We start from the raw sequence: 26,782 nt of genomic DNA on the forward strand, positions 1-26,782 counted from the left end.
GCCTTTTTTTCTTTCTTTTTTTTTTTTTTTTTTTGCATAGGCCAAATTTTTGCTTTAAATACCACCATTTTGTCCACACTAGAATTTCTTTGACCCAACTTACATTTTTTCAAATGTAAGTTTCAGAAATAAGGTTTTAATTTGCTCAAACTGTTGGTCTAGGGATCCTGAATAAGTGCAAGTATTTTACTTTATTAAAGGGGGAATTGTTTTTGTGGCTTGGTTTTGCACACTTTTTTTTTTATATTCTCAAACATGTGACTTCCAAATTTTCCTTTAAATTGGGTTGAAGTTAGAAAGTTTTATTATTTCCTAAGTCATTATATTTTTTCTTTTTGAGCTTTATGCACAAATAATGTTTTCAGTTTAGAACTTAAGATCTTAAATGTTCTCATAACAAAAAATAAATATATGAGGTTATAGATATGTTAGCTTGATTTAACCATTTCACAATGTATACATGTATCAAAACCTCACCTGTACACTGTACATATACAATTTTAATTTGTCAACTATATTATAATGTGAAACTTAATTTTTAAAACTGAATTTAAGGGAAACTGTCAAAACCAAACTTTACAATGTGGTATTGAAGAGTATTTATAAGTAACTGTTTAATTTCTCATTCTTCTGCTCTTGAAACATGGTCTTATCCAAAGGTGATAGCATTAATGTTAGGATTTTCACTTCTGTTTTGTTTTTCTCACATAGACATTCTTTGGCCCTGTGTAATTATATAGGTGCTGTGTTCTCTGGTTGTATACATTGACATTATTCCTTTTTTTTTTTTCACAAATTATTTCTATTTCTTTGTATTTTAGTTAATGAAGTATATTTTAATCTTTTTCTACTGTGCTTTACATATTCAACAACTGGTTCAAATTGTCAGTTCTAACTGCTTTTAGGCCTTGCTTCTCCCAAGGAGATACATTTCTGTTAAGGCAGCAGTAAACATCTTACAGCAACCAACTCTATGTGCCTTGGTATCCTGGAGCTTCCAAAAATGAAACAGTCACTTGTTGAAAATGAAGAAGCTTTCTGTAGTTGAATTTTGAAGTAGATATATTTATTTGTTGTCCTTCAGCGAGGTTATGAAGGCCCTGGGTTACATCTGCATTTTTTATAAAATTGCGACATACAAACATAGTTAAGGGGGGAAAGTGTAATCTTTTGTGAGAGTCATGCTTTCTTCTTCGTCTCACCGTGTAGAGGGGAAGATCTGTCTTTTTATGATTAAAAAAGACACCCATTCTTTCCACTACCTGAAGAATCTTGAAGGTCCATGTGAAGACAAAGCAGCCATAAACAACAAGTTAGAGGGAAAACGAGCTTGTGTGTTAGTGCTTCCAAGAGCAGTTTTCTCAGCTCTGATCTGTTGTAATTTTCAGAGCAGGTTTACATGTGTGGTCGCATGTTTTGGTGGTTGGTTTTGACCTGGACCTTTCAACTGAGCAAAGTCTCCTTGGACTTTTCTCCTTTTCCCATAGTTTCTTGCTGGCTTCTACCTGTGATTAGTATGTGTGTTGCTTAAAATGGCAACTGAAACATCACCAGGAATTTTCACCAGGTAGAAACTGCTTTTCCTGTATCAAAACAACCAGTACAGCTTAGCTGATGCTTCTGTTGCTAAGCAGGTAAATTTCTGGTCTTCAGGCTGCCCTTATTAACCCTGTAAATGCCTAATGTCAACCGAAGAAGAAGAAGAAAAGAACTTGATGCTTCCTTCTCACCTTAGTGCTTTGTTCAAGTGCGTGAAAACTGGACCTAGCTCAGCCTAATTTCCATGTATCTATTTTAGAGGACCTAACCTCGATTAACCTATTTTGCAGGGTCAGGAGGAGAATTGGGAGATGGAGAGGGCCTGTGAGGTTGGTAGTTTCCAGTGAAATGTCAGCCCCAGTAGCTGATAGTGGAAGTCTTATACTAGATGACCAAAATTATGGGTTTATTTCAGCCAGTAATGGGCCCCGTCTTTTTCTTTGGGACTTTTCTCTGCCTGTAGCTGCCCCTATGCCTGTGGGGAGAAGAAGAGGGAAGAAAGGGGTTGCTGTTTGCATCTATTTGCCAGAAAGGAGTTAACAGAACATACCGCAGAACAGGTTGGGCAAGACTGTTAAAGCCAGTGCCTTCCTCTCTCTTTCTCTCTCTCTCTTTCCCTACCCCCTACGCCACCTCTCCGTATCCCTCTCCTTCCTGCTCTGCGCACCGTCTCCCCACCGCCCCCCAGGACTTTAATACATCTTCAGACTATACTCCCCCCACCAACACACACACACAGATACACACACACACTTCAGTATCTGGCTTTCCTTCTAGGCAGAACATGGATGTGAATAAAACACTTTGTGGAGCCTGTTGTGTGAGAAGCAGGCAGCGGCTGTGGGCCTCAGCCTTGCCATCTGTTTCTAGAGCAGTCTGTGGCCCGCTTACCATGCCCTCTGTCATGTAACATAGGCCCCATTCAGCAGCAGCATTCTTGAATGTGCATTTATGTCTCTGTGGGACCGGGGGTAGATGGCCTGAGAGGGGGAAAGCAGGAGATGGGAGGGGAGGAGGCGAGGTGGGGACGGAGAAGGAAGTGTGTGCACACGCAGACAGCCTGGGAGGGCAGTGAGGTGGAGTCACTGCAACTCGGTGCCAGCAAGTCAGGAGACATTACTGCTGGAAGTATCCACAGTTAGCTCTGACTTAGGGGACGTCTTGTGGCCATAAATGTGGAGGAACCGAGCTCTTTAAAAGCCAGTTTGGGTCTGATATAAGTTCTGCTTCGTGTTTGTGTCCATTCACTCCGTAAACATACCATATATAGTCATGTTTGAGCTCACTATAACACACATTGCAAGGGAGCCGCTCATAGTGCACACATCCTTTGGCTGTTAGAAGCAGACTCACATAGGCTATTTCTGGTGTGTCGTGGCTTTCTTCTTTCTTTTTTTTTTTTTGGTGGGGAGGAGGTGGTGGGGGAGGGAGAGGAAAAGGAGCTCTTTTTCCTTCCATCTTCACACTGGTTGGAAGATGTTTCTGATTCTAGTTTGTCTGGCACTCTGAAAGCTAAGGAACTGTATTGTCATGGCAGAAGAAACAATTCTCTGTGTGCATCTGTTTTAGAATGAAACCGTACTTTTCTTAGTATCTTAACATCACATGCATTTTGTAGTTTATGGTCTCCAGTCTCCAGCTGTTTTTGGAGCACCTTCTAACTTTGAGAGGGTGAGCTCTAGCCTGTAAAATGGACTGTGGGTGGCTCGTGGAGAAGGTGCCCTGGTGTGCTTTTCTGTGTCCTCTCTGGATTCTCCCTGAGCTGTCCACCTCTGAAGCCTGCTTCACCTTCAGACTGCCAGGGCAAGACATGCAGCTTCTGCAGAACTCATGGCAGCCGTTTTCCACTTGGCCGAGCTGGGTCTGTGAAGCAGAGAGGAATCAGTAATAGGAAAGAAATGTAGTTGTTTTTTTCCCCCTTAGAATACCTACCATACTGCATTTCAGCTTGGAGTGCGCAGCATGAGGCATTTGTGGTTCAGAAAAGAGGTCTTCCTTTTTCCTCCTCCTGTTTTCTTTTCCTTCCTTCTCCCCAACTCCCCAAAGGCTTACTGCCTTTCTTCTCAGGCCACGTGTGTAGATAACCTTTGAGGAAAAGATGGTTTCCGTGCTGGGATATTTGGATATTACCTAAAGGGACAAGATGAGCCCTTTCTTTGCCTTGTTTTCTTTCTCTGGCCTCATCAGAGTGAATTATATCTGACTGTGTGACAGTTAATTGTACCATCCATCCCGTGTCCTAAGCTGATAAGCCCCTCTCTGTCTGCCTCCATCAAGCTTCTTTGTTTGAGAAGTTCCTAATGCAGTAGGAGAACAAAGTGACAGTTTTCTTATTTACTGAAGTCTCTAAAGCACATTCATAATGCTCTTCATTGTATCTTTCTTATAACTTCATTCCTTCAACTTAGGTAATTAAATTGTTCCATAGTACCAGTGATTGATAAGTTAAAACTTCCTCAGAAACATCAGTGAGTTCAGGAAAAAAAAAAAAAAGTTTGTGTTTTAAGCTGCGTGTATTCATTCCAAACTATTATTGGCTTGGTAGACAGTATTCACAGTAAGACACTGGACACTGCTGGATTGCCAATTACCATTGTGGATATAGCAGTTGATTAGCTAGCTGACTCAAAAGTAGTATATTGCTTATGTAGAGGTCGCTTATTTGGCATTCTTCGGTCCAGAATATTCAGCCGATGTGCTTGCGAGTGAGTGAGAGCCAGCAGGGTATACGTGGGGGGAGAGGTATGTAAAATAAAGTTTTCAAAGCCACAAAGGTGTTAGGAAGTCCTGGTACTAACACTCCTACCTTGATTCCCATTGATCCTTTAGGCCTGCACTTCAGCACTATTTATTCTTACTGTAGATACAGCCCTGGCCACCTTGTCTCACATTTTCCAGTCTACATTTCTGAGGCCAATGTTGGGGATGGAAAAAAGCCATCAGAAGGAGACACATTGACAACAAGCAGAAAAGATGTTAGGGGATGAGACAAGAATTCAAACGGCATGGCGGATTCCCATTGGGGGAATTTCACAGACTGGACAGAGGAGCCCTCTGTGTTATTTCTTAAAACTGCCTGTGTATCCACAATTATCTCAGGAAAATTTTCAATTGAGAAAAACAAGCATGGCCAACAGAGCCATGTGGTACAGTGGCAAAAGTAAAGTGGGGGGGGGTGGGTATGTCACTAGTTTCCAGAGGCAGCCTAGTGTAAGTTGTTCATCGTGATGATCCTGAGTCACCCCCACAAAAGGCTGAATTAATCATACATTGATTCACCATGCTATGCTTAAGGAAACAGGGAAGTTTGAAAGATACTTTAGAATGATTGACACCCAGGAGTTTTATATGGAAAATTAATTTCTGAATACTTTCCTTCCCCCTCAGTGATGTGCAGCTGCTTCATGAGTTAACATGACGTGTTAGAATAAACCTTTCAGTATAGTCAGACATATACTAAAATATTATATATTTTGCCCAGATTTGTAGAAAAAAAGTTATTCATTAACAGATTCAGATGATGTCCAAATACCATACCAGGTTGTCTGTATTCCCTTTATTTTTTGAGACAGAGTCTTGCTCTGTTGCCCAGAATGGAGTGCAATGGCATGATTTCGGCTCACTGCAACCTCTGCCTCCCAGGTTCAAGCAATTCTCCTGTCTCAGCCTCCCGAGTAGCTGGGACTAGAGGCGCGTGCTACCACACCCAGCTAATTTTTGTATTTTTAGTAGAGTCGGGGTTTCACCATATTGGTCAGGCTGGTCTCAAACTCCTGACCTCAGGTGATCTGCCCGCCTTGGCCTCCCAAAGTGCTGGAATTACAGTTGTGAGCCACCACGCCTGGCCATTTGTCTGTATTCCTAATGTGAATTGTGCATATTTATCACCAAAAGAATATATAAAATGTCATGGATTTTTAAAAGCAAATGATACCAAAGATCCCTAGGTACCAGAGAAGTCATAGACATCCTGGAAAACATAGTCTCTGTAGAAAAGGAATACTGAACTTAAAGGAAGTCTCAAGTTAAATTTAAACCATCAAATGGTGAATTGGAAGGAAGGAGTGCCCTCAACTAAGACTTACTGTAAAAAACCATAGAATTTTAGAGCTGGAATGGACTTGAGAGGTGACTTGTTCTGTTTTTATGAGTTTGTCTTCATTTTACCCAGTGTTCTTCCACAATTCATGTCTGTGCCCAGAATTGAACAACTCACCTGGAATAGTGTCCACATGGCTTTTTGGCCATGAGGAATAATCCTAACTTGGAAAATAATAGGTATTTACTCAGCAGAAATTATTAGGTTTTGGGTTTTGTTTGTTTTTTGTTGAGACAGAGTTTCGCTCTGGTCGCCTAGGCTGGAGTCCAGTGGCGCAATCTCGGCTCACTGCAACCTGGCGCCTCCCAGGTTCAAGCGATTCTCCTGCCTCAGCCTCCTGAGTAGCTGGGATTACAGGTGTGCACCACCACGCCTGGCTAATTTTTGTATTTTTAGTAGAGACGGGGTTTCACCATGTTGGCCAGGCTGGTCTCAAACTCCTGACCTCAGGTGATCCACACACCTCGGCCTCCCAAAGTGCTGGGATTATAGGCGTGGGCCACTGCGCCTGGCCTGGTTGGTTTTTTTTTTTTTTTATTCTTTTTTCAAGGTTATTTGCTAATTTTATTCTTCTCAGTAGTTCCATTTTATAGGTAGAGAACACTTCAGCACTCCATGGTGCTATACCAGACTCTTTCTTGGCCTTGTTATATATTAATGGACATTTTCATGGAAATCCCAGGGTTGAAAACTCCCCAGAGTTGCTAATACCTGCTACTGGTTCTCAAGTGGTTTGATATTATATACATAAGTGTGGAGCATTGCTGGACCCAGGTTTTAATAATCAGATTAATAGATACATTTGAAACATTGTCATATTAGCTTTTAATACTACTGAATTTAAGTCTTCTGTGCACTTAGGTTTGCTGTAACGCATGGTTAACATATATAGGTTGGTATAAATTTTTCTGTTCCTGATTCAGATAGGGTTTTTGTGTGTTTTGGGTTTTTTCTCCATAAGAGAAATTGTTCCCTTTGAAATTTTAATTAGTTTTGAAATTAAACTATAGTTGTGCATATGCATGGCAGCTATACCTCCTGATTGCTATGCTGAAGGTAGAAAGTATTCTCTTGTTGTATAGACATTGGTCATACTGTCAGGCAAGGGAAATGCCACTAATTTCTGTTTCTTGAATTGCATACCAGAAATAGGAATTCGTTGTCTGACTGTTAGATGCTCAGGGCAGATGGAAAAGTAAGAAAAACCAGGACTTCCCAGGAAGCAAGTGGCAGATCTGTGTGCTGACTGTTTCAGGGTGGGGATGGCACAGAGGGGGCTTGCAGGAGAGATGTGGCCGAGGGTGGAAGAGCTTGTCTTCGGTGCCTTGTGATAAGCGACCTGCAGCCTGTTGCAATGGCGACTGCATTTGAGATGGTGTGCTTGTAACATCCGCCGGGTAGGCGGAGCCTCAAGGACACATGTTGAGAGGTTGGGGTGGTGGAGCCAGGAGGTGCAGTGAGCGAAGCATCCAGGCGTGGATTTGAACAGCTGCTGGCCGCCCGGAGATCAGCCTCCATGCATCAGTCATAGGCACAGAGAACTCATCCGTGCGGCTGGAGGCTGAACATGGAGAAGGAGGGAAGGGAGCTGCTTTTTCAGTTAATACTCTTGATGCTTCCAGAGCAGTTTAAAGATACTGCGGAAATTTGTTGGGTGGTTCATTGTTTGTTTTAAAAGCTTTGCCCCCTTCACGTAATCCTATCTTTTATTTAATATAAATGCAATCAGTCTGCTTTAAACACTGACTAAAATTGCTTTTACTAGATATTGTATTATGTATAAGGGGGGAGCTGAGGCCCAAAGAGAAGAATTTGATCAATTGATTTAAGGTTGTTGGAGGATTGAAATGTTACTTGATTGCTGGTCTTATCCAGGATTTCAAGATTTCAAGGAAAAGTGGACAATGCCTGCTTTTATCTAAGGGATTTCAGCAGTCATATGATCTACAAACCAGCCCCCAGGAGCAGCAGGCCCTGGCAACCTCTGTGCTATGGAGTCCACGCAGAACAGGGACTTCAAAGTGCTTGGGGTGTGCTGGCTTGGGAGTCATTTCGCTGAGAACTGGTTTTGGTCATGGCCTTAACATCTGCATAGATGTTGCACATTGCAGGCACATGACACTTGAATGGGCTGAGATTTAGGTGCAAGTTGGTAGAGCTTAAAGGGGAGGTAACATTAGTGAGGCCAATGGGCAGCAGCCCCACTGCTGAGCACACACTGCAGTTCCCTGCAGGGTCAGGGAGAAGGTGGCCTTGCCAGGTTGAGGCTAGGAGCAGAGATCATCTTGTTAAGTTCTCACAAATCAATTACTGACACGGGAACAGTGTGTAAAAGTCTGAAACCACAAATCTTTTTGGACATTTTGGCTGTATAAAGCATATCATTTATAAGCTCCCAGGAATTTACTTATAGTTTGAGTGTCTCTTGTGATGAACAGGACTATGGGGGAGAAATAAACCAAGCAAGTGAAATCACAGAAACTATGTGAAATCACTTTTAGATGGCTTTCGTTTTCAAAACGTTGGATATTCTCACTATATTTCCCTTGTAGGTACATACACAAGGACATTGATTTGAGGATGCATTATGAGTTTTAGAAAATCACCTTGCTAAATAATAGGGAGTTCTGGGGCTTTATGGGAGAGTGATAGTAAGATGTGATGCTGAGTTTTTTAGCTGTGTGTATAAGTCCACTTGGTATCTAATTGCACATTATTCCTGTTGTTTCCAGTATCCTAAGGGAACCTCTCTCAGTGTTAGCTCCTTATGAAAAGTACAGAAATAATCCTGTTTTAGGGTGTACATGATGACTTTCTTGGTCTCTCTAATTTCTTATAAGTGGTGTATTACATGATTTTAAAAATAGACCTTCACTAATGTTAGATCTTTAGGTTTTCATTATTGTTAATTGACTTTTTTTATGTCTCCTGAAAGACAGAAATGAAGAAAATAATCCACTCACCAAAAAACCCAACAGTTGCTGAATAGCTATGAAACATATGAAAGAAATTCAGCCTTTAGCATTGGGGCCTTTTTATTATTCTCAAGTTTGATTTTACAGCTGAGCTATAAATGTGACCAAATGCATCACATGAGTGTTTACCTTTTTTTTCCTTTCCTTTTTGGCCACATGGAAGTACCTAAAGAGATGGAATGTGACACACCCAGAGAATGAGGCACTGGAGGGGCCTATGAACTTGAGAAGGCCAGGAGCAGCAGGGTCCCTTCATCTCAGTGCTTAGCTTTGCCAGTGCTAAGTGGGAAGCAGAAGTCACTGAGCTCCTTAGCAAGTGAGTTTTTAAAATGTGTGTGTGTACACAAAGGAGTTGTTCCAGTGCTCTCTGTAGAAAGTGCTAGAGAGAATTCTAGCAGGAAATTCCACCACCTTTGAGATTAGTTGTCAATCCCACTAAAAGATAGCCCTCCAAAGAAGTGCTGCTTTGCTCTGCAGACCTGAAAGGTCCTATGCGATTCTCTTACATACTTCTTAGTTCCCTCTCCCCAATTCTTTTAATTTTGTGTATTTCATGAATTTTGTAGTCTTAAGTTGTTAATTGAGGTGTTCTGGATTGTAATGTGTTTTGGTGTGTGTGTGTGACAGTGAAGGAGGTATTAATCTTTGTGAGAGGGTTTTTTTTTTTTTTTTTTTTTGAGGAAAATATTTTTAATGTTTCATTCCACAGTCTGGTAAGTTGTATACTGTTGACAGCTCATTACCTACATGTTAAACTGCAAAATGTTCCTAGATTAGTAGAACTATTATTTTTTTTTAAAAAAAGTAGCTTTGTGGTTAAATTCTGATGCCCTTAAAGAGATCACTTTCTCCTGTTTTGGCAAAACAAGTTATCAGTCCACACGTGATTACATAAATAAAATTGAAACCCTTTACTCTTGCTCCTCCCTACTCAATTAAAGTCAAGGGATTCCAGTAGTGGTATACACACACACACACACACACACACACACACAAATCCTCCAATGTATTTACTTTTCACATTTTTAATACATTTTAGCGGACTGAGCTTTCTAAATTATTAGCAACTAGTACATAATCATGTTGCAGTAAATAATTTTTTTAGTTAGTGAGAAACAGACCGAAAATAGGAGGTTAAAAACAGTTCATCTGTTTTGGTGAATAGAAGTGAATGAGAGTAGGGTAGAAATTCTGGCTGATTTTATAAAATATCTCAGATCTGTTTGATAGGTTGGGCTTAAGACTGATGATGTGGGCATCCTCTTTATAATGAAGTCAGGCTAAGCGAAGCTATGTTGAAGTATCAAACAAAGCCTGAAATCCCAGTGGCTCAACCCATAAAGTGCCGTTGCTTGTTGGTGTAGAATCCTCTGCAGGTCTGGCAGCTCTCTAGTATAGCTCCCTTACAAGTGGTAACCCAGGGATCCAGGCTGCTCTTGTCTTATAGCTACTCTGTCATTACACATGCTTCCAGGTTGCCACCACAAGGAAAGAGCTAGTGGGTTACATACTGACTTTGAAAGGCTGCAGTCTGGAAGTGATGGCTGGTACTTGTGCTCACAGCTCATTGGCCAGGACTAGTCATGTGACCTGCCTGACCACAAAGGTATACGGTTGCCAGGAAATATGGAAGAATATGTGGATATTCTTTGAGCAGTGAGCATCTTTGCTTTATTCTCCTTTTCCATTTCATCTCCATAAGGTTCTCTATGCACATAAACTAGATGAAGCTTAGGCCTGAAGCCTAGAACATAATGACACTTTGGTTCTCAAAGTGTGGTCCCCAGACAAGCAGCATTAGCATCACCTGGGAACTTGTTAGAAACACAGATTCCTAGGCCCCACTCCAGCCCTGCTGAATCAGAAATGTGGAGGTGGGGCCCAGAAATCTGTTATCATAAGCTCTCCAGGTGCATACTAAAGTTTGAAAATGACTGCCCAGTGGGAGTACAATGTTTGTAGCACCTGTTGAACTCATCACTGGGGACGTGAAGGACTAATAGACACTTGCTAATGTGAACGTACAGTATGTGTGCTCAGGTGTGAGCATGTATATGATAATAAAAAGCACTGAGGGATGGTATCATGTGTGCCAGACAGGTTTTAGCACTTTATAGATTTGACTAATCTATTTCTCAGAACAGTCATATGATTTCAGTATTATTATTGTCTCCATCTCACAGATGAGGAAATTGCAGAACTGAGAGGTTCCCTAACTGTCTAAGGGTCAGGCCACTTACCACTGCTGGCAAGTGGTAGAGGCAGGATTTGCGATGTGGTTCCAGAGCCTACTCCTTAACTACCATGCAATTCCGCTTGTTCATCTTTGGGTGGTTACCCACCGGGCCTTAAGGTAGTCTTTTCATTTTTTCTTGAATGGAGACAGTCTGTCAGAGTTCGCAGGAAGTGTGGTGTGCTGGTGACAGTTCACATTCCAAGTTAAGCCCCCTTACCACGAGCTTCATTCGTTGGTGGTTTACGTGTGGGGGGTGCTGGTGACAGTGTTGGTCAATACTAGAGGGGCATGGCTAGGCAGCAGCTGCCCAGTCATTTAAAACTGAACAATAAATAGAACGGGGTTGTTAGGGGCGGAACGAAGGGGCCTAGTGGGAAGTGGTTTCTCAGAGGGAGATAGTTCAGTCGCACTAGAAGAATATTTTCTTCAGTTAACCTATGTGTAATTTTCAGGCTTATGAGAAGAAAGGCCCTGTTCTCATCACCCTCCCTTTTGATTCTTCTTTGGTCTTTTTCCATCATCCATCTGCCTGCCCTGAGATGCTCATCTGAGGCCTGATTCCATCAGGTGGTCTGAAGAAGGTTTCTATGAAGTCTTTATGAGCTGGACTTCAGTTTTGTTTTGTTTGTTTGTTTGTCTGAGACAGAGCTTTGCTCTGTTGCCCAGGCTGGAGTGCAGTGGCACGATCTTGGCTCACTGCAACTTCCGTCTCCCGGGTTTAAGCGATTCTCCTGCCTCACTCAGCCTCCCGAGTGGCTGGGATTATAGGCCTGTGCCACCACACCCAGCTAATTTTCATATTTTTGGTAGAGACAGGGTTTCACCCTGTTGGCCTGGCTAGTCTCGAACTCCTGACCTCAGGTGATTGGCCTGCCTCAGCCTCCCAAGGTGCTGGGATTACAGGCGTGAGCCACAGCATCCGGCCAGGACTTAAGTTTTAATAGAGAAAATGTGTTTTCCCTTCCAAGAAACCTGATAAAATAGTTTCCTCCCCTTGCACTTGGGAAATCCAGATAGAGTTAGATGTGATTTAATCTTTTGAATTTTGAACTGATTGAAAAGGATTTTCCAAGTGACATTAAGAACTTGCATCCTTTTAAATTTTTTAATTATTAACTGCATTTTCTTTCTTCCAGGTGGGTCTATTATTTGTTGTTGTTTAGGTGTCCTTTGCTGGCCCATGTATTCCCTTGGCTTCTTTGTCTTTTGTGTTCAGCAGACTAGAACTGAGACAGCTCCTTGGCAGCTCTGTCCTGGACAGTACCGGCTTTAACTCTAGGTAGAAGATAAAGATAGCATCACCCCTTTCGGGTTTCATGTTGGCTGGGAACAGCTGCTAAGCTTTGTATAACTCACAAAGTAACATTTCATTCCAGATTTGCTGAAATTTTTAGTTTTCTGCAAGCCAGGGCTTAACCACGGGGTTTTTTCTCATTCACACTTAAGAGTCTAGACTTTTCGTTTGAGAAGCAGTTGCTTGTCTTGGAGTTTAGTAATTGAAGGGAACAGAGGTGGGAGAGGGAGGAAATTATTTGCATAAGTTGTTTTAAAGCTCCGTCCACTTCCTTTCCCTTCATCACTTTAAATGGTTTAATTTGCTTAGGTACTTCAGCAGAGGTGTAGATAATTGAGGTAAATCTCGAGTCAAATCTAAACAAAAGAAAGAACTGACCTAAAAAAGAGCAACTGAACTCACACTAATTGAATCACAGATTTGCTCAGACCAATCTAACCTGTGAGGAAGGCCAGGGAACACTGTGCCCTTGATGTGCTTTTTGCCTCTTAAGAGGGAACACCAGCCAGTCCCTTGTGGCTCTCCCAGCCACCTTCCGCACTGAGCCACATCTGGGTTAGAGCTGCAAAATTCACCCTGAAAAAAATGTGAAAGCCATTTTGGGTTGGACATTTGTAAAACAAATTTTTTCTCCTTTTGGAGACCTGGTGCCCTTGGTATTTGTATATAGAATCCACTTGTTTATTCTTGAGGAGAGCAGCTATGTGTGTGAATTGGGCATCCGTTGGAAGAAACATAACAGGCTTGCCTGTAACAGCTGGAATATAGTTGCAGCCCTTTGAAATAAGACAATCTTAGTTTTCCTTCCTTCTCCTTAGCCAGCCATCCAGCGTAGGAAACAGGATGCTGTGTACGTACCCTGAGTAGGAGGAGAGGGTTCCAGAGTGCCACTTGGCTGCTCCTGTGTACCCATTCTTGTTCAAGAGCACCTTGAGATCACATGGTCTTAAATGCCAAAGCTGACCAAGAGCTGCCCCTCTGTTCAGCTTCGTCGTCCCTGGCTGTTGGGGAGGACTTTGTCTGTCTGACTGCCGCTGGGCTGCCTTGCCCCAGCTCCCTGGGGTCCTTTGCTCCGTAATCCATCAGCTCTTCTTTTCTCTTCTTCTTACTCATAGTATAAGACCCGACTGCCCATTTTTTGGAGATGACTAATTAATTAGTAAAATATTTGGCTGGGCGCGGTGGCTCACGTCTGAAATCCCAGCACTTTGGGATGCAGAGGCAGGCAGATGGCTTGAGTTCAGGAAGTTGGAGACCAGCCTAGGCAACATGGTGAAACCCTGTCTCTACCAAAAATACAAAAACTTAGCCAGGTGTGGTGGGGCGTGCCTGTAGTCCCAGCCACTTAGGAGGCTGAGGCACAAGAATTGCTTGAACCCGGGAGGTGGAGGTTGTAGTGAGCCAAGATCGTGCAGCTGCACTCCAGCCTGGGCAACAGAGTAAGACTCCATCTCAAAAAAAAAAAAAATTGAGTGCCTACTGTGTGCACATGTACCCTGTGTGACCATGGGCCAGGCACAGTGGTTCATGCCTGTAATCCCAGCACTTTGAGAGGCTGAAGCAGGTGGATTGCTCGAGCCCAGGAGTTCGAGACCAGCCTGGGCAACATAGTGAGACTCCGTCTCTCCAAAAAAAAAATAAAGTTAGCATGGTGTGGTGGTGCGCACCTGTGGTCCCAGCATTTGAGAAGCTGAGGTCGGAGGGTTGCTTGATCCTGGAAAGTCAGGGCTGCAGTGAGCCATACTCCAACCTGGGTGACAGAGCAAGACTCTGTCTGTCTCTTTGGGAAAAAAAAAAAATCCAACTTACGAGTTCTCTTGTGCTCCCTCTCCACTGTTCCTCTTTGCTCTTTCATCCCTCCTGACTCCAGAAGAGGGCTCTACCACTCGCTGCTAATGCCTTCACATTTGTCTGGATTCCTGCCTCCTGGGGACCTCATCCTTGCCAGCCCCTGTTGCTGTGCCTGTGCCCTACCAGGGGTGTTTTCATGTTCTCATCAGTGACCCTGCTTAGCCCTGAATATCATCAGCCGGCTCATGCCTGACTTCTCTGTGGAGGGATTCATCCCACGTGCATTCTTCAGGGTATGAATCCCACAGGACCAAGACCTTCTGGATCCCTTTCCATTTCTTCACATTCAAGAATCTCTGCAAAAGAATGTAGCCTAACCCCCCTAACAATCTAAAACTTCTTCCCAAGCACCATTTAGTGCCCCAGGACACTTGCCTGTGGCCAGAGCGACTCTCTTCCTTTCTGCCCTTTCCATTGTCTACCCCACCTGCCTCCCCTTTGAAAGTTGTTCAGGTTTAACTTTCCCTCCCTATTCCCTTTGTTCCCGTTTGTAGGCAGGTCTCCCTCCCCTGCAATCCCATACCATGTTCAAACAGGTTTTCTTAAAACTCTTACATCACTTTTCTCAGCCTACACCCCCTACTGCCCCAGACCCAACCCCAACTCTCCCACCTCCTGTAATTTGCCCACTCCACACACACCCTCTGTAATGAGGCCCCTGCCCTTCAGCAGGACCTGGCTCCTGGGCTTCTTGTGGTACTTCCTGGGTATCAGCTCCCTCCAGCCTCCACCTCCATACCCTTCCTCTTACACTACCCCAGTCCACTAATCTCTGCTTTTTCTAGACCTAAAATTAGAATTGTATAGACAGCACTTAATTCTCTTACCTTCCCAAGCTTTCTTTTACCTCTTACCAAGTGGTAAGCTTATGGAGTTCCCCACCCCAACCTAGTAGTGGATCAGGAGTTACTAATTGAAGTAGCTGACATACATTTTTATCATCAAGAAATATTTGAGGGCCTAAAGTAGAGTATTTCACCCCCAAATCATTTGAAGGTAGATTGTGGGTCCCATTTGTTTATTTTTTTCAGACTCTTTTTTTTTTAAACCTTGATAGCTTAAAGGCCAGGAAAAAACTGATTAGTTTTCATCTTCAAAGGACACAGGATAAAAGAAGGACTGAGCCAGCTCACCCCTACCCTCCAAACACCTTTAAATCACAGTCACTTTTCCCACTCCCCTGGTTGTGACTTTTGAATTTTATAGTTGATATAATCCCTCCTTTTATAGCCGATTTATGCACTGCAATTTAAGTAAGCAGAAATGTTCAGTGCATAGGGGGACTCAGATTTAATGATTGTTGACTTAAATTTAAAAGGATCACTAAGGCCCCTGTACCTCTTACTTATTGCAAAACAAACATTCTCCGTAAGACCACCCTCTATTCTGTGACCCCTTTGAGGTTCCTAGGAATTGATAGGTTGTGGGCCATGTTTACACCCACAGGAGGACTTCTTTACAGAAAACCTCCCCAGCATCTTTGATGGCCTAGATGTGTTCACAGTCACACTGAGAAAGTTTTAACCTGATAGTCATCATTCAGAAACTAACTCGAATCCCAACATCATTCCTGGAATAACGGGACAGCCGCATAGATGGGGCTCACAAGGATGTCTCCCCTCTCGTTCCTTTCCAGAGGATGAGTTCTGTTTTAAAATTATAACTGTTTATTACAGGCACTGGGCGGATTGCTTTAGGAATTGATTTAACGAATGTTCACTGGGTTATTGCCTTGTGTCAATAATGTTTTGAGTGAAATATCAAAACGCTGATGAGATGGTTTATCTCATCTCATCTTTACAAGAAAAGGGAAGGTTAGAGGATTTGGTGTTGCCAGTGTTTTTACTTATTGTTGGTGGCCTGCCTGAAACTGATGGCAGTAGTAAGTAAGGAAAAAGCCTGCCAGTCTCCTTAACTCTCCAAAAGTAGGATTAAATCTGCTGAGGGTCAGACCACTGCCGTAGTTCTGTCCTTTCCTGGAAATCATAGATTCTTTTGAAAGGCTGATCAAATTTATGGACTATTTTCCTAAAGCTGAATACTGTCTGCATTTTACATGTGGTTTCAAGGGTATGACTCTTGCACTTGTCTACAGAACAAGGCTTATCAACCTAAGCATGTCATCTGTTCAGCTCAGCTGGCCCATAGTTGGCTTGCAGTACCTGTTATAGATTGAGAGAAACAATGCCTACTGTGTGCCAGGCACTGAGCTACAGACTAAAGATACATAAATTGGGGGAGGGAGGGCAGGGTGCAATTAAGGACTGAAATTTGATCACTTTCTTTTTTGCATTTTTTTTTTTTAAATGAGACAGGTTTTCCCTCTGCCACCCAGGCTACTTGAGTTCAGTGGTACAATTATAGCTCACTACCAAGCCCAGCAAATTAAAAAAAATTTTTAGACACAGGGGTCTTGCTATATTGCCCAAGCTGGTCTCAAACTCCTGGCGTCACGAATAGTTGGGTCTTTCTGGTATATTTTCAAAAATTATGTTAAGTTTTTTTAAAAAAAAATAGTGACATCAAATTATACTTAAAAAAGCACTGTATTCTCATGATACATACGTTGTTTCAGATTGCCTTTTCTAGACTTTATCCATAAGTATAGCATAGAATCTTAAATGTGCCAGCTAGCTTTTTAAACTTGACCTAACTTTATAAACATTTTCCCATGTTTTCACACATTGACTTTTTTTTGAGACAGGGTCTCAGTTTGTCACCCAGGCTGGAATGCAGTGGTGTGATCACCGCTCACTGCAGCCTTGACCTCCTGAGCTCAAACAATCCTCCCGGTTCAGCTTCCTGAGTAGCTGGGATTACAGGCGCACAACACCACACCTGGATAACTTTTTTTTTTTCTTTTTTTTTTCTTTTTGAGACGGAGTCTCATTCTGTCACCAGGCTGAAGTACTGTGGTGCAATCTCAGCTCACTGCAACCTCCGACTCCCTGGTTCAAGCAATTCTCCTGCCTCAGCCTCCTGAGTAGCTGGGATTACAGGCACGCGCCACCATGCCCAGCTAATTTTTGTATTTTAGTAGAGATGGAGTTTCACTTTGTTGGCCAGGATGGTCTCCATCTCCTGACCTCGTGATCCACCCGCCTCAGCCTTCCAAAGTGCTGGGATTACAGGCGTGAGCCACTGCACCCGGCCCACATCTGGGTAACTTTTTGTGTTTTTTGTCTAGATAGAGTTTCGCCATGTTGCCCAGGCTGATCTCGAACTCTAGGGCCAAACCGATCCTCTCGCCTCGGCCTTGCAAAGTGCTGGGATTACAGGTGTGAGGCACAGTGTCCAGCCCACATTGACCTTTATGTTTGAGGTGGGACCAGGTTCAAGCAGGTTTAGGGTAGATGGGGCAGGGTGGGGATGACTCACCTGGGAGAGGTCAGCCTGCTTATGACACGTCCCTCTATTGTTGGTTTCATGGATTATTTCCCTCTATGAACTGAAACTCTAGTCAACACTAGGCAAAGTAAGTTACTTTGAGATCCACTAACTCCCCTCCCAAGCCTGCAGGTAAAACCATCCCAGATCACCTTTATTCCTGCTTTAGGGTTTAAAAACCCCAGGAGGCAAACAAATTAAAGACTGCAGATGTTCTTAGGATGGTTAGACTTGACACAGAAGAGAAAGAGGTACAACTGTTCATAGAGTTCAGTTTGACAATTAACATGTATATTAGTATGGTTGCCTGTGTTTGTGTTATGTTTCACTGTGTTTCATCTTCCTGTGCCTGGGATCCCCCATGCCCTCCTTTCCTATCTTTCTCAAAACCAGCTGTTTTTCCCCATCTGCTGCATTTTGGTTATAGATATTTATTTGTAGGTTTGCTTTAAAACAAAACTCCTCTAAATCCTACTTGATAACCATCCATGCTCTTTACTCTCTCCTGTCCTGGGAGCTCTCTTCCTAACTCCTGCCCTTCATTCTCGACGCCTGCCTGGCCTCCTTTTGGTTCCTTCTCTACAGCATTGCTTCCACCCACCAGCTGTAGTGCCCCTGTCCCTTAAGAGTATGGCAGTGCCTCCTAACTGGGTTATATACCTCTGATTGTCCATTTTTAAATCTGCTACCAAGAGCTTTTTAAGCTGTGGATACGATTATTTCATCGTGGGCTTTAAAAATTGTGAGGAGGGGCCCTTCAGTGGGTTTCCAGAGCAACAGGATAAAGTTCATGGCTCTTAGATGGAACCTTGAGCCCAGCATCATTCTGCCAGCCGCATCTTTGCCATTTCCCCCACTGCACTCTCCCTCCTTTCTCAAAACACACTGGTGCACTCTGATAGCTCCCAGGGGTTTTGTTTTCATGGACAAGACACACAAAACTTTTGCAGTTAGACACAAGGTTGCCGTTTTTTTATTTTGCTAAGTAAGGGCATTAAAAAATGATCTCTACCATCTACTGTCTTTATCTCATTTTAAAAGATGGCAGTTTACCCTAAAAAAAAAAAAGAATGAATTCAGCATTGTGAGAAACTCAGCAAATCATCTGCTTTTTCTGCACACTGTGTTAACAGCTTTCTGCGTGTGGCTGGGAGGCGAATCTCTTCTTCAAGCTCAGGTTTGCTTTTGCTGTGCTGCCCTCGCCTTGCACTCAGTGGTGCTTACCTCTGGTGAGCCACTGCAGCTCTGGAAGTGTTTGGCTCATACTCCAGGTTCCCTGGAGTTGAAATTTCCCTCTCTGTGTTTCCTCTGACATAGGAAGCCAGGGCTCTCTGTCTTACAGCTCTTGGTGGTTCTGGCACCTGGAATGTTAGTAGCCTTAGATGTCTGAGGATGATCGTCATAATCTCCCAGGTTTTCGCACAGATCCCAAACCTTACCCTATGTGTAGGGTATACAAACAGTATAGAATATTTTAAGCCACTAATTTTAACAACATGCTGAGAATACCCATTTTTCTCTGCCTACGGATTGGATACACTCTGAAAGCAGCAAGGATGGGCCTACAACTCCAGCTGCAGGAAACTGAGTAGACTGCTCCCCTTTATTTTATTTTATTTTATTTTTATTTTTTTATTTTTTCATTTTTTGAGAGAGGGTCTCACTCTGTTGCCTAGGCTAGAGTGCAGTGTCACGGTCAGTGCTCACTGTAGCCTCAACCTCCCTGGGCTCAGGCGATCCTCCCACCTCAGCTTCCTGAGTAGCTGGGACTACAGGTACCCACCACCACACTTGCATATCTATCTTCCAAACTCTCATCCATTAAAAGTGAATCTTGACTAGTAGGGTAAGAGAAAGCCATCACCATAATTAGCAGTGTCTTTTGGAGGAAGCCTTGAAAGGACTATTCTTCCCTTGATGAGAGCAGAGCGTTAAAGTTTAACTACAAGGAATAAAGAGACAGTGAGTTTTTTCTCACATATTTACCGTGGCCAGGTAGCCATTTGTATAATCTGTTGAGCCTTTTTTTTACCCCTTAGGAAAATTCTGTTTGCAGATTGGGAGCACTCCAGGAAGTCACTGGCCTCTGAAATACTTCGTGGAAATGTGTTAGTTCCCATTCTAAATTGGTTTGGTGACTGAGGCTGTTCTTTGACTTCAGCGTTTTATTTTATTTTATTTATTTATTTATTGAGAAAGAGTCTTGCTCTGTTGCCCAGGCTGGAGTGCAATGGTGCTATCTTGGCTCACTGCAAGCTCTACCTCCTGGGTTCACACCATTCTCCTGCCTCAGCCTCCTGAGTAGCTGGGACTACAGGCACCCGCCACCACGCCCGGCTAATTTTTTTTTGTATTTTTAGTAGAGATGGGGTTTCACCGTGTTAGCCAGGATGGTCTCGATCTCCTGACCTCATGATCTGCCCGCCTCGGCCTCCCAAAGTGCTGGGATTACAGGCGTGAGCCACCGCGCCTGGCACTTCAGCGTTTTAGTTGTGGGGCTGGCAGAGCATGAAATTGAGTTTGTGTGAGCACGTGTGTGCCTGGGTATAGTGGACTGCATTTTCTTTGCAGAAGTATAATGAAGCATCTTCAAGGACTTTGAAAAAGTTTCCTCGGACATATCCAGTGAGCATGATAGATGCCATTGTTTCGCAAGTTTTCTATTTTCTTTGTCTGTACAGGTTGTTCCTGACTTCGTGGCTGGGAGGAAATTGAGGATGCTGAAGAGTACTTGCCGTTTGGCCGGTGGGGTTGAGCCAGTCAGCTGGCTCCTGTTCTCCCATGGGCCCCTATCGGGGCTGGGTCCTGTGGCTGTAGGAGAGGGGCCACATAGAGGCACCGTTCTAAGTTCTGTGGGGGGACAGCACAGTTCCTCTGGTCGCCACACATGCCCTGTCTGACTCATCTATTATCTAGACTCATAAAAAAAAAGATCCTAAAAAATACTGGCTCCATTCTGGAGAGTTGGCGCAGAAATTCAGATTGTGGACTCATTCTGTAAGCTGGCTTCTGTTCCTCACCTCCCACCCTTTTCGCCATGGCCTTCCCTACCTACTATCATCAATCCCCACTGCCCATCTCCTTTCCCCCACCCGGTTCTCTTACCTGTGTGACTGTTAGGGGTTCAGTGGTAGGTATTTGGGCAAGGAAATTTCTCCTTTCCTTAATTGATTTTAGGAAGATCTTTTGTATCCCAGAAAGGAACTCCAGGGGGACTGTGGTAAATGTCTGATTTAATCATTTTCTGAATGCATTAACCTCACATATGCTGATGGGATGCCAAGAAAATGGAACTCCTACCCTTGTATGGCAGGGAGTCAGGAACTCTGTCCACTGGTGTGTGAGTTCCCTCAGGTCATCCCATCCCATAAGTGACAAGCACAGTCTCACAACCCTCTTGATTGATGCACAAAAGAGTGGATTTTGCTGCTATACTGAGTCCTGGATATTCACAGCAAAGCTCTAAGTGCCAGGCAGATGGAAGTGCTTTTGAGTCTGAACCTAAAAACACCTAGACATCCCCACAGAGTCAAATCTCAGGCACAGAGTTAGGATTGGGAGGAAAATCAAAGACCACGACCTGGCCTCGCTCCAAAGGCGAGGGGTCCAGTGTATTCCAGGCCATTTGCTTGTGCAAGGACATGGTGTTCTGCTTTCAGTTCCAGTGGTTAAAGGACGCTATTAAATGCTACTGAATTATTTTAAGAATAGTAGTGTAAACTACATTTAACTTGAGCTACTGTAACTAACTTCTCGGGTTTCTGGACTTTGATGAAGATAGCTCTTGTGTTTGCAGCAGACAGAAAGCAAATGTCTAAGTGAGCCCTGAAAGTAAGTTCTCTTCTCGGAAGCATTGGCCTCTCACACACAGAGGCACAAGGAGTGCTATCCGTTGGACTTGAAGGCTGTTAGAGTTGGAGCTGCAATGGATGCCGGGTAGGTGTTGCTTGGGCATTGTTCCAAGAGGCTCTGGAGGCAAATATTTTAAACAAGTCAAACAGCCCCTCTAGGCGAGCTGCAGGAAGTCCAGCCCTTGCCTTCGTGTGGTCAGCAGGAGATAAAAGTGTGGACTGTTGGAGGCTAGGCCCCTCCTAACACTGGATAACAAACTGTTAAGGGAAGATAAAAGGAAAGAGTAGGGATGTCCTTTTTAAACAACATGAAGGTGCCTTTGTCACATGCATTCAAGTAAATTACGGGTGGTGAGCAAGACATGCCTCATTTTTATGATCACAAGCGTGTTGAAGAATTCTGAGAAGCAGGACTTGGTTTCAAAAGTATGCCAAAACAATTTCATGTCATGAAAATACTGGTAGAGGTAGGCTTTTGATTGAGAATGTTCCCATTACATACTGGGTTACATTAAATAGGCATCAGCTTGGATTTACAAATCTGTGTGCTACAGAGATTTTCCCTGTTAAGGTGTGTCTGACCCATGGGGACTGGGTGGGCGTGTCCAGCTGCCCTTGGACTGGGCAGATGAGCAGGCAGGGCGGCTGTGCTTCTCTGAAGTGTGCGCATCTCCTCTTAGTTGTGCTTCTGGTGTTGACCCAATTATTGCCCGGGTATGAAAGAGTTTGAAGGAAGAGACTGTCCTGCTGGTGTCTATCTCCCCTTTTCAGTTTTCCTTCCTGTTCTTTGTAACATTTGGGGGGAGTTTGGGGGCTTGCAAAGGGGTTATCTGTTTCTCAGGGTGGGGCTTGTAAACATGAACCCACACTTAAGAGCCTGGGCATGTTCAGTGCCCTGTGTGAGCTCAATCCAAAGCAAGTGAACAAGTGTGCTTCAGGGACATGATGCTTGTTTCAGGCCCCGCTGGGCCGTGGAGGGGCGGTGGCCCTTTGTGCAGTTAGACCCCCCAGGGAGTGCAGTTGTGAACTAATCACCGCCTGGAGAGCCTGTGTGCCTCACACTTCCTCCAGGACTGCACTAATCCCCACTCCCACCCCCAACTGCCAGCCCCTGGCCTTGGCCCCCTCCTTCCAAGGTGCCTCTGCTGGTCCAGGAACATGCCACCTCCTCTCCCAGCTGCACATGGGCTTTCCAAAAAGGCCCATCCTGCCTGCTAGTCATTTTTGGTTTGCTCAGTTTACTTTAAGAAAACCCATTTGCTTGCCAGTGTTTTTGGTTGGCTAGCTTGTGATAAACACTTATCAACCACTTATATCTCAGAGCATTTGTTTTCCTTCATATGCACAGTAGTAAATACTTTTCTTAGAGGCGAATTTGGGGGTGAGGGGATGGGAGGTTTTCTGTTGTATGGCGGAGGGCAGCCCATGCAGCTCCTGGGAGCTGGGCGTGGTCACTTCACCGCACACAGTCATTCCCAGCTGACGGTTTGTAACGTCTGATTACGCACTGTGAAATTTTGACCACAGCTGACCACTTTTCCAATGGGCGAGGAAAGATGTGATCTCCTCCTTCCACTGCCTTCTCTAAGCTAAGCTGTTAGGGGAGAAGCATTTCAAACGCTTGTATCTTCCACAAGTCATTTTGGTTTTCTAAGGAGTGTCATCCTGAATTCTGGGAATTCGAAGCCCAGATTTAAGGTAAATCACCTGCCCTGGGATTGCTTAGCTTGCAGCTCGTCCCTGGGGCAAAGTGGAGAATCCCGTTGCTGCTGCACCCTTTCCCTGAGCATGTCAGAAAGGCCAGCCCGGCGACCTCAGGGCCTGTGAAAGAGTTGCAGGATATTGCCTAAAACTCTATGCAAACTGCTACTGAACTTTACCCTAGCTTCTTACCAGAAGCTGGAAATGTGACCGAAGATACTTAGATTCACTTCAGAGATGTGTCCCAGAACACTCCCATTTCTACCATACATTGTCATGGTGTCAGCCATGCTGTATTCAGGTGCTGCAGTTAGTTGGGAGAGAAGCAGCTTGGTGAATATAGGGAAGAAAGAGCTGCATCCCTGTGGCAGCCAGTAGTGTGTACTTCCGTAATTAACCAAACGTGAAGCTGACCAGGATTGGTTTCAGCAGCAACTGAAGTCAGAGGGGTTTTTATTTCCTGGTCGCCAGATAGCATGGCGACTGTGTCAGCAGCTGTTCTCATTGGCCAGGGGATTGCATTTGGGAAAAGCCAAATTATATTTATTTTAAATTGTCCAACTTGTGGGCTGGGACAGGATTTTTTTTTTTTTTTTTTTTTGAGATGGAGTTTTGCTCTTGTTGCCCGGGCTGGAGTGCAATGGCACTATCTTGGTTCACTGCAACCTCTGCCTCCTGGGTTCAAGCAATTCTCCTGCCTCAGCCTCCTGAGTAGCTGGGATTACAGGTACCCGCCACCACGCCCAGCTAATTTTTTGTATTTTTAGTAGAGATGGGGTTTCACTATGTTGGCCAGGCTGGTCTCGAACTCCTGACCTCAGGCAGTCTACCCGCCTCAGGCGTGAGCCACCGCTCCCGGCCGGGGACAGGAATTTTTTTAGAAGACCATCAAGGTGAGCTCCTGCCTTCAAGGTTTTGGCAATCCAATAGGGGAAGCAGATGGGTGAATTGAGGAGTTAGGAGAATCATCCCAGGGACTACCTGGAATGTTGGAGGATAAATAGTGTAGCATCAGTAGCTCGCATGCTGGAGGATGCCACAATGTTTGTAAAGTATTTTAACAAGCACTCCTTTGAACCTATATTGTAAGGTAAGGAGGGCAGTGTTATCAGCTTCATTTTTCAGCTAGGAGAACTGAGGCTCAGAGTTCGGTGGCTCCATTGATGGCAAGCTGGATTTCCAGGCCAAAATTTAAGACTCCCCATGTCAGGCTGGGCACGGTGGTTCACGCCTGTAATCCCAACACTTTGTGAGGCCGAGGTGGGAGGATCACTTGAGGTCAGGAGTTTGAGACCAGCCTGTTCAACAAAACTCCATCTTTACTAAAAATACAAATTTAGCCGGGTGTGGTGATGCATGCCTGTAATCCCAGCTACTCGGGAGGCTGAGGCAGGAGAATCACTTGAACCCAGGAGGCAGAGGTTGCAGTGAGCCGAGATCATGCCACTGCACTCCAGCCTGGGTGACAGAGTGAGACTCCGTCTGAAAAAAAAAAAAAAAAAAAAAAGATTCCCCATGTCATGTGCTTTTAAAGTTATGCTGTAATGGTTTATTCTTGCACATGCTTTTGGAATCTTAAGGTATTATGCAGAGAGGACAAGTGTTATGCAAGATAGATTGTCCCCTTAGAAGTGCAGAATCTGGAAGTCAGAAGAGTCTTCTAACCTGGTCTCCCACCCATTGCCGGACTGGGGTTTTTTGTTTGCTTTTTAATTAACTAGTGGTTACCCACCCTCTGCTTGAAGACTCCTGGGGACAGCGAGCTCATTACCTTATCTGGCCTGTATCCATCTGAGGGCTTAGTTCAAAGCTCTGGTTTAAAGAATCATGGAGCTCCAGAGTTACTTGTTTGTGCCTCATTCCTTCCATGGTGGACCTGTGCAATGAGTGTGCCCCTCTTCCACACACCAGTCCTGCAGCTTTTGTAGCTGGCTCTTGTCTCCATTCTGTTAGCCATTTCCAGTTTTCCCCTTGACTTGGTTTCCCAATCCTCTAGCTTGCTAATGACCCTTCTCCAAATGGTTTTTCAAAGACCCTTCTTGTGCTACAGTGGAAAGTACAAGATTTTTGGAGTCAGACAACCCCAGGCTAGACTCCTGGCTCCGCCCTTTAAGAGCTGTGCTATATCTAGCAAATAACCTAATCATTACCTTACAAGATGTGGGGGAGGATTAAATATATGTAAAGTGCCTAGCATATTTCTAGCATAGAGTTTATGTCACAAGTGTTAGTGCCCTAGGTTATCAGGGAAGTGGGTGCTCTGGAAAAAATATAATTGGATGCACATTAGATTTCCAGTATACTCTGACTTGAATCCTGTTTTCTGTTACTTATAGCAACATTCTTTTCTGTTTTCAAATTCCTCAACCAAGGTGTGTTGTGGAGGCCTCTTCCTACCCTTTCTTGCACCTGGGTCTACCTGATAAGCCAGGAGAGCAGATCTTAGGGTGGGACAGGGCAGGGGAGCTGCTCAACTTAATTCCCTGTGGGACATCTTTAGCCTTGGCCCAGGAAACCCTGCCTTGCCCTGGGGGTAGGTGAGGGTGCCCTGTGGGCCCTCTGCCCCTGTGGTCCAGCATGGGTGCTTCCTTATTAGAGCATAGTCCACCTTGGGCACCCAGAGTAGAGACGATACATGTTTCTGCTAAGTTAGGCAAGAAAGTGATGAAATACCAGGGTCCTGGCAGGCAGGCTGAAAAACAATGTTTAGGAAAAGTCTGGCTTTTTTGGGGAAAGGGCCAGGGACTCAACTCTTCCCACAGCTGAGTGCCGAGGGCTGCTGTGTCCCCTCCCAGGGGAGCCGGGTGCTGTGTGACAAATGGCTGCCATTTAGCAGCTGTGTCTTGGCCTTGCAAATCTGGCAGTAGTTAGATCCTGGCAGGAAGACATGCTCCCTGGAGAAGAGCTACAAGAAGTGGAGTCAGCTTCTTCATAGTCCTCATGTACTAGCAGGAAAGCTTATCACTGGGACTGTGCCCCATTTCCTTCCTTTAAAGAAGCACAGAGCCTTGCAGAGAGGTGCAGGAAGAAGAATGGGGTACCACAGGATGGTTTTATCTGGCATTGTCCAGAAAATCTCCCTAGCTCTCCCGTGGATCATGTTTTAAATACTCAATCTGACTGACGTAGATAAATTTGGTAGGCAGGGACCCTGTCTCCCCAGTCAATGTGTGCCTCCCTGCTGAAGTTATATTTAATGTAATAATTTAAATGTCCAAGTGATTTTTAAGAGAAGCTGCTTCCTGCATGGAACCTATTACTCTGCATTAAGCTGCTCCTTCCCCCACACTTTACAAAATATTGAAGTTTTCCTTTACCTAAGAACAACCGACATTGCTTTTGAAAAGGAGCATCAGTAGCTTGTGTTATTTCTAATAAAATGCTCCAGGTCAAGACCAGCGGGGTATTTGAAACCTAGTCAGAGTAAGGAGCAGACACCCTGGCCTGTGAGAATGACCTCTGATTTTCCTTCCTCCACCCTCTGGTCCCATTAAGAGATAAACTGTAGTAGATGGTGAGCAGTTTCCAAGGCTGTAAGAGGGAACCCCAGGGCTGCGTGTCTCCCCTTGAGGTCATCTCCCTAACTGTTCTCCCCGTCACCTGCCCCTTGTTGCTCACTCCTCACTGCCCAGGAGCAGCAGAGAGGTGAGGGAGGGTATCCGGGGCCACCAGGAATCCTGGCTGAAGGGCTCAGGTTTGGAGGTGATCCACAACCACCTCCAAGGAGCTTTTCGGGAAGTACCACAGGCTTGGCAACTGCTGTTTGCTGGAGAGAAGGCTTTTAGGATCCAGGGCTGCGTGAAGGCCCAGGCCATGTGGTTTTGCCAGCCATGCACTGCAGGCTGGCCT

The 26,782-nt window shown here is 44.4% G+C and overlaps 1 protein-coding gene across 4 annotated transcripts in view, besides 11 other annotated features; it reads left to right on the forward strand.

Moving 5' to 3' along the window:
* The window catches only part of RREB1 (ras responsive element binding protein 1), a 144,238-nt gene that overhangs the window by 36,094 nt on the left and 81,362 nt on the right, over nt 1-26,782 (forward strand). The gene's annotated exons all lie outside the window — the stretch shown is intronic.
* Nucleotides 1,683-2,353: an enhancer, noted in NCBI's record as "H3K27ac-H3K4me1 hESC enhancer chr6:7145752-7146422 (GRCh37/hg19 assembly coordinates)". NCBI's record gives its function as "activates a minimal SCP1, AML or CMV promoter by ChIP-STARR-seq in primed H9 embryonic stem cells {active_cell/tissue: H9 hESC(primed)}" and the evidence as "EXISTENCE:reporter gene assay evidence [ECO:0000049][PMID:30033119]".
* Nucleotides 2,612-2,761: an enhancer, noted in NCBI's record as "active region_23938". NCBI's record gives its function as "activates an Ori minimal core promoter by ATAC-STARR-seq in GM12878 lymphoblastoid cells {active_cell/tissue: GM12878}" and the evidence as "EXISTENCE:reporter gene assay evidence [ECO:0000049][PMID:35858748]".
* Nucleotides 6,961-7,126: a silencer, noted in NCBI's record as "fragment chr6:7151030-7151195 (GRCh37/hg19 assembly coordinates)". NCBI's record gives its function as "represses an EF-1alpha promoter that drives an FKBP-Casp9 reporter gene in an ReSE screen in phorbol 12-myristate 13-acetate-treated (for megakaryocytic differentiation) K562 erythroleukemia cells {active_cell/tissue: K562(+PMA)}" and the evidence as "EXISTENCE:reporter gene assay evidence [ECO:0000049][PMID:32094911]".
* Nucleotides 12,611-13,277: an enhancer, noted in NCBI's record as "H3K27ac-H3K4me1 hESC enhancer chr6:7156680-7157346 (GRCh37/hg19 assembly coordinates)". NCBI's record gives its function as "activates a minimal SCP1, AML or CMV promoter by ChIP-STARR-seq in primed H9 embryonic stem cells {active_cell/tissue: H9 hESC(primed)}" and the evidence as "EXISTENCE:reporter gene assay evidence [ECO:0000049][PMID:30033119]".
* Nucleotides 16,660-17,621: an enhancer, noted in NCBI's record as "H3K27ac-H3K4me1 hESC enhancer chr6:7160729-7161690 (GRCh37/hg19 assembly coordinates)". NCBI's record gives its function as "activates a minimal SCP1, AML or CMV promoter by ChIP-STARR-seq in naive H9 embryonic stem cells {active_cell/tissue: H9 hESC(naive)}" and the evidence as "EXISTENCE:reporter gene assay evidence [ECO:0000049][PMID:30033119]".
* Nucleotides 17,240-17,534: an enhancer, noted in NCBI's record as "tiled region #2085; K562 Activating non-DNase unmatched - State 5:Enh". NCBI's record gives its function as "activates a minimal TATA promoter and a strong SV40 promoter by Sharpr-MPRA in K562 cells {active_cell/tissue: K562}" and the evidence as "EXISTENCE:reporter gene assay evidence [ECO:0000049][PMID:27701403]".
* Nucleotides 19,881-21,985: an enhancer, noted in NCBI's record as "VISTA enhancer hs2061". NCBI's record gives its function as "enhancer in: trigeminal V (ganglion, cranial)[3/7]" and the evidence as "EXISTENCE:transgenic organism evidence [ECO:0001131][PMID:17130149]".
* Nucleotides 21,220-21,514: an enhancer, noted in NCBI's record as "tiled region #2361; K562 Activating DNase unmatched - State 5:Enh". NCBI's record gives its function as "activates a minimal TATA promoter and a strong SV40 promoter by Sharpr-MPRA in K562 cells {active_cell/tissue: K562}" and the evidence as "EXISTENCE:reporter gene assay evidence [ECO:0000049][PMID:27701403]".
* Nucleotides 22,620-22,914: an enhancer, noted in NCBI's record as "tiled region #4659; K562 Activating DNase matched - State 5:Enh". NCBI's record gives its function as "activates a minimal TATA promoter and a strong SV40 promoter by Sharpr-MPRA in K562 cells {active_cell/tissue: K562}" and the evidence as "EXISTENCE:reporter gene assay evidence [ECO:0000049][PMID:27701403]".
* Nucleotides 25,132-25,633: an enhancer, noted in NCBI's record as "H3K27ac hESC enhancer chr6:7169201-7169702 (GRCh37/hg19 assembly coordinates)". NCBI's record gives its function as "activates a minimal SCP1, AML or CMV promoter by ChIP-STARR-seq in primed H9 embryonic stem cells {active_cell/tissue: H9 hESC(primed)}" and the evidence as "EXISTENCE:reporter gene assay evidence [ECO:0000049][PMID:30033119]".
* Nucleotides 25,634-26,133: an enhancer, noted in NCBI's record as "H3K27ac hESC enhancer chr6:7169703-7170202 (GRCh37/hg19 assembly coordinates)". NCBI's record gives its function as "activates a minimal SCP1, AML or CMV promoter by ChIP-STARR-seq in primed H9 embryonic stem cells {active_cell/tissue: H9 hESC(primed)}" and the evidence as "EXISTENCE:reporter gene assay evidence [ECO:0000049][PMID:30033119]".

This window comes from Homo sapiens, chromosome 6 (assembly GCF_000001405.40).
Source record: "Homo sapiens chromosome 6, GRCh38.p14 Primary Assembly".
Classification (NCBI taxonomy): Eukaryota; Metazoa; Chordata; class Mammalia; order Primates; family Hominidae; genus Homo; species Homo sapiens.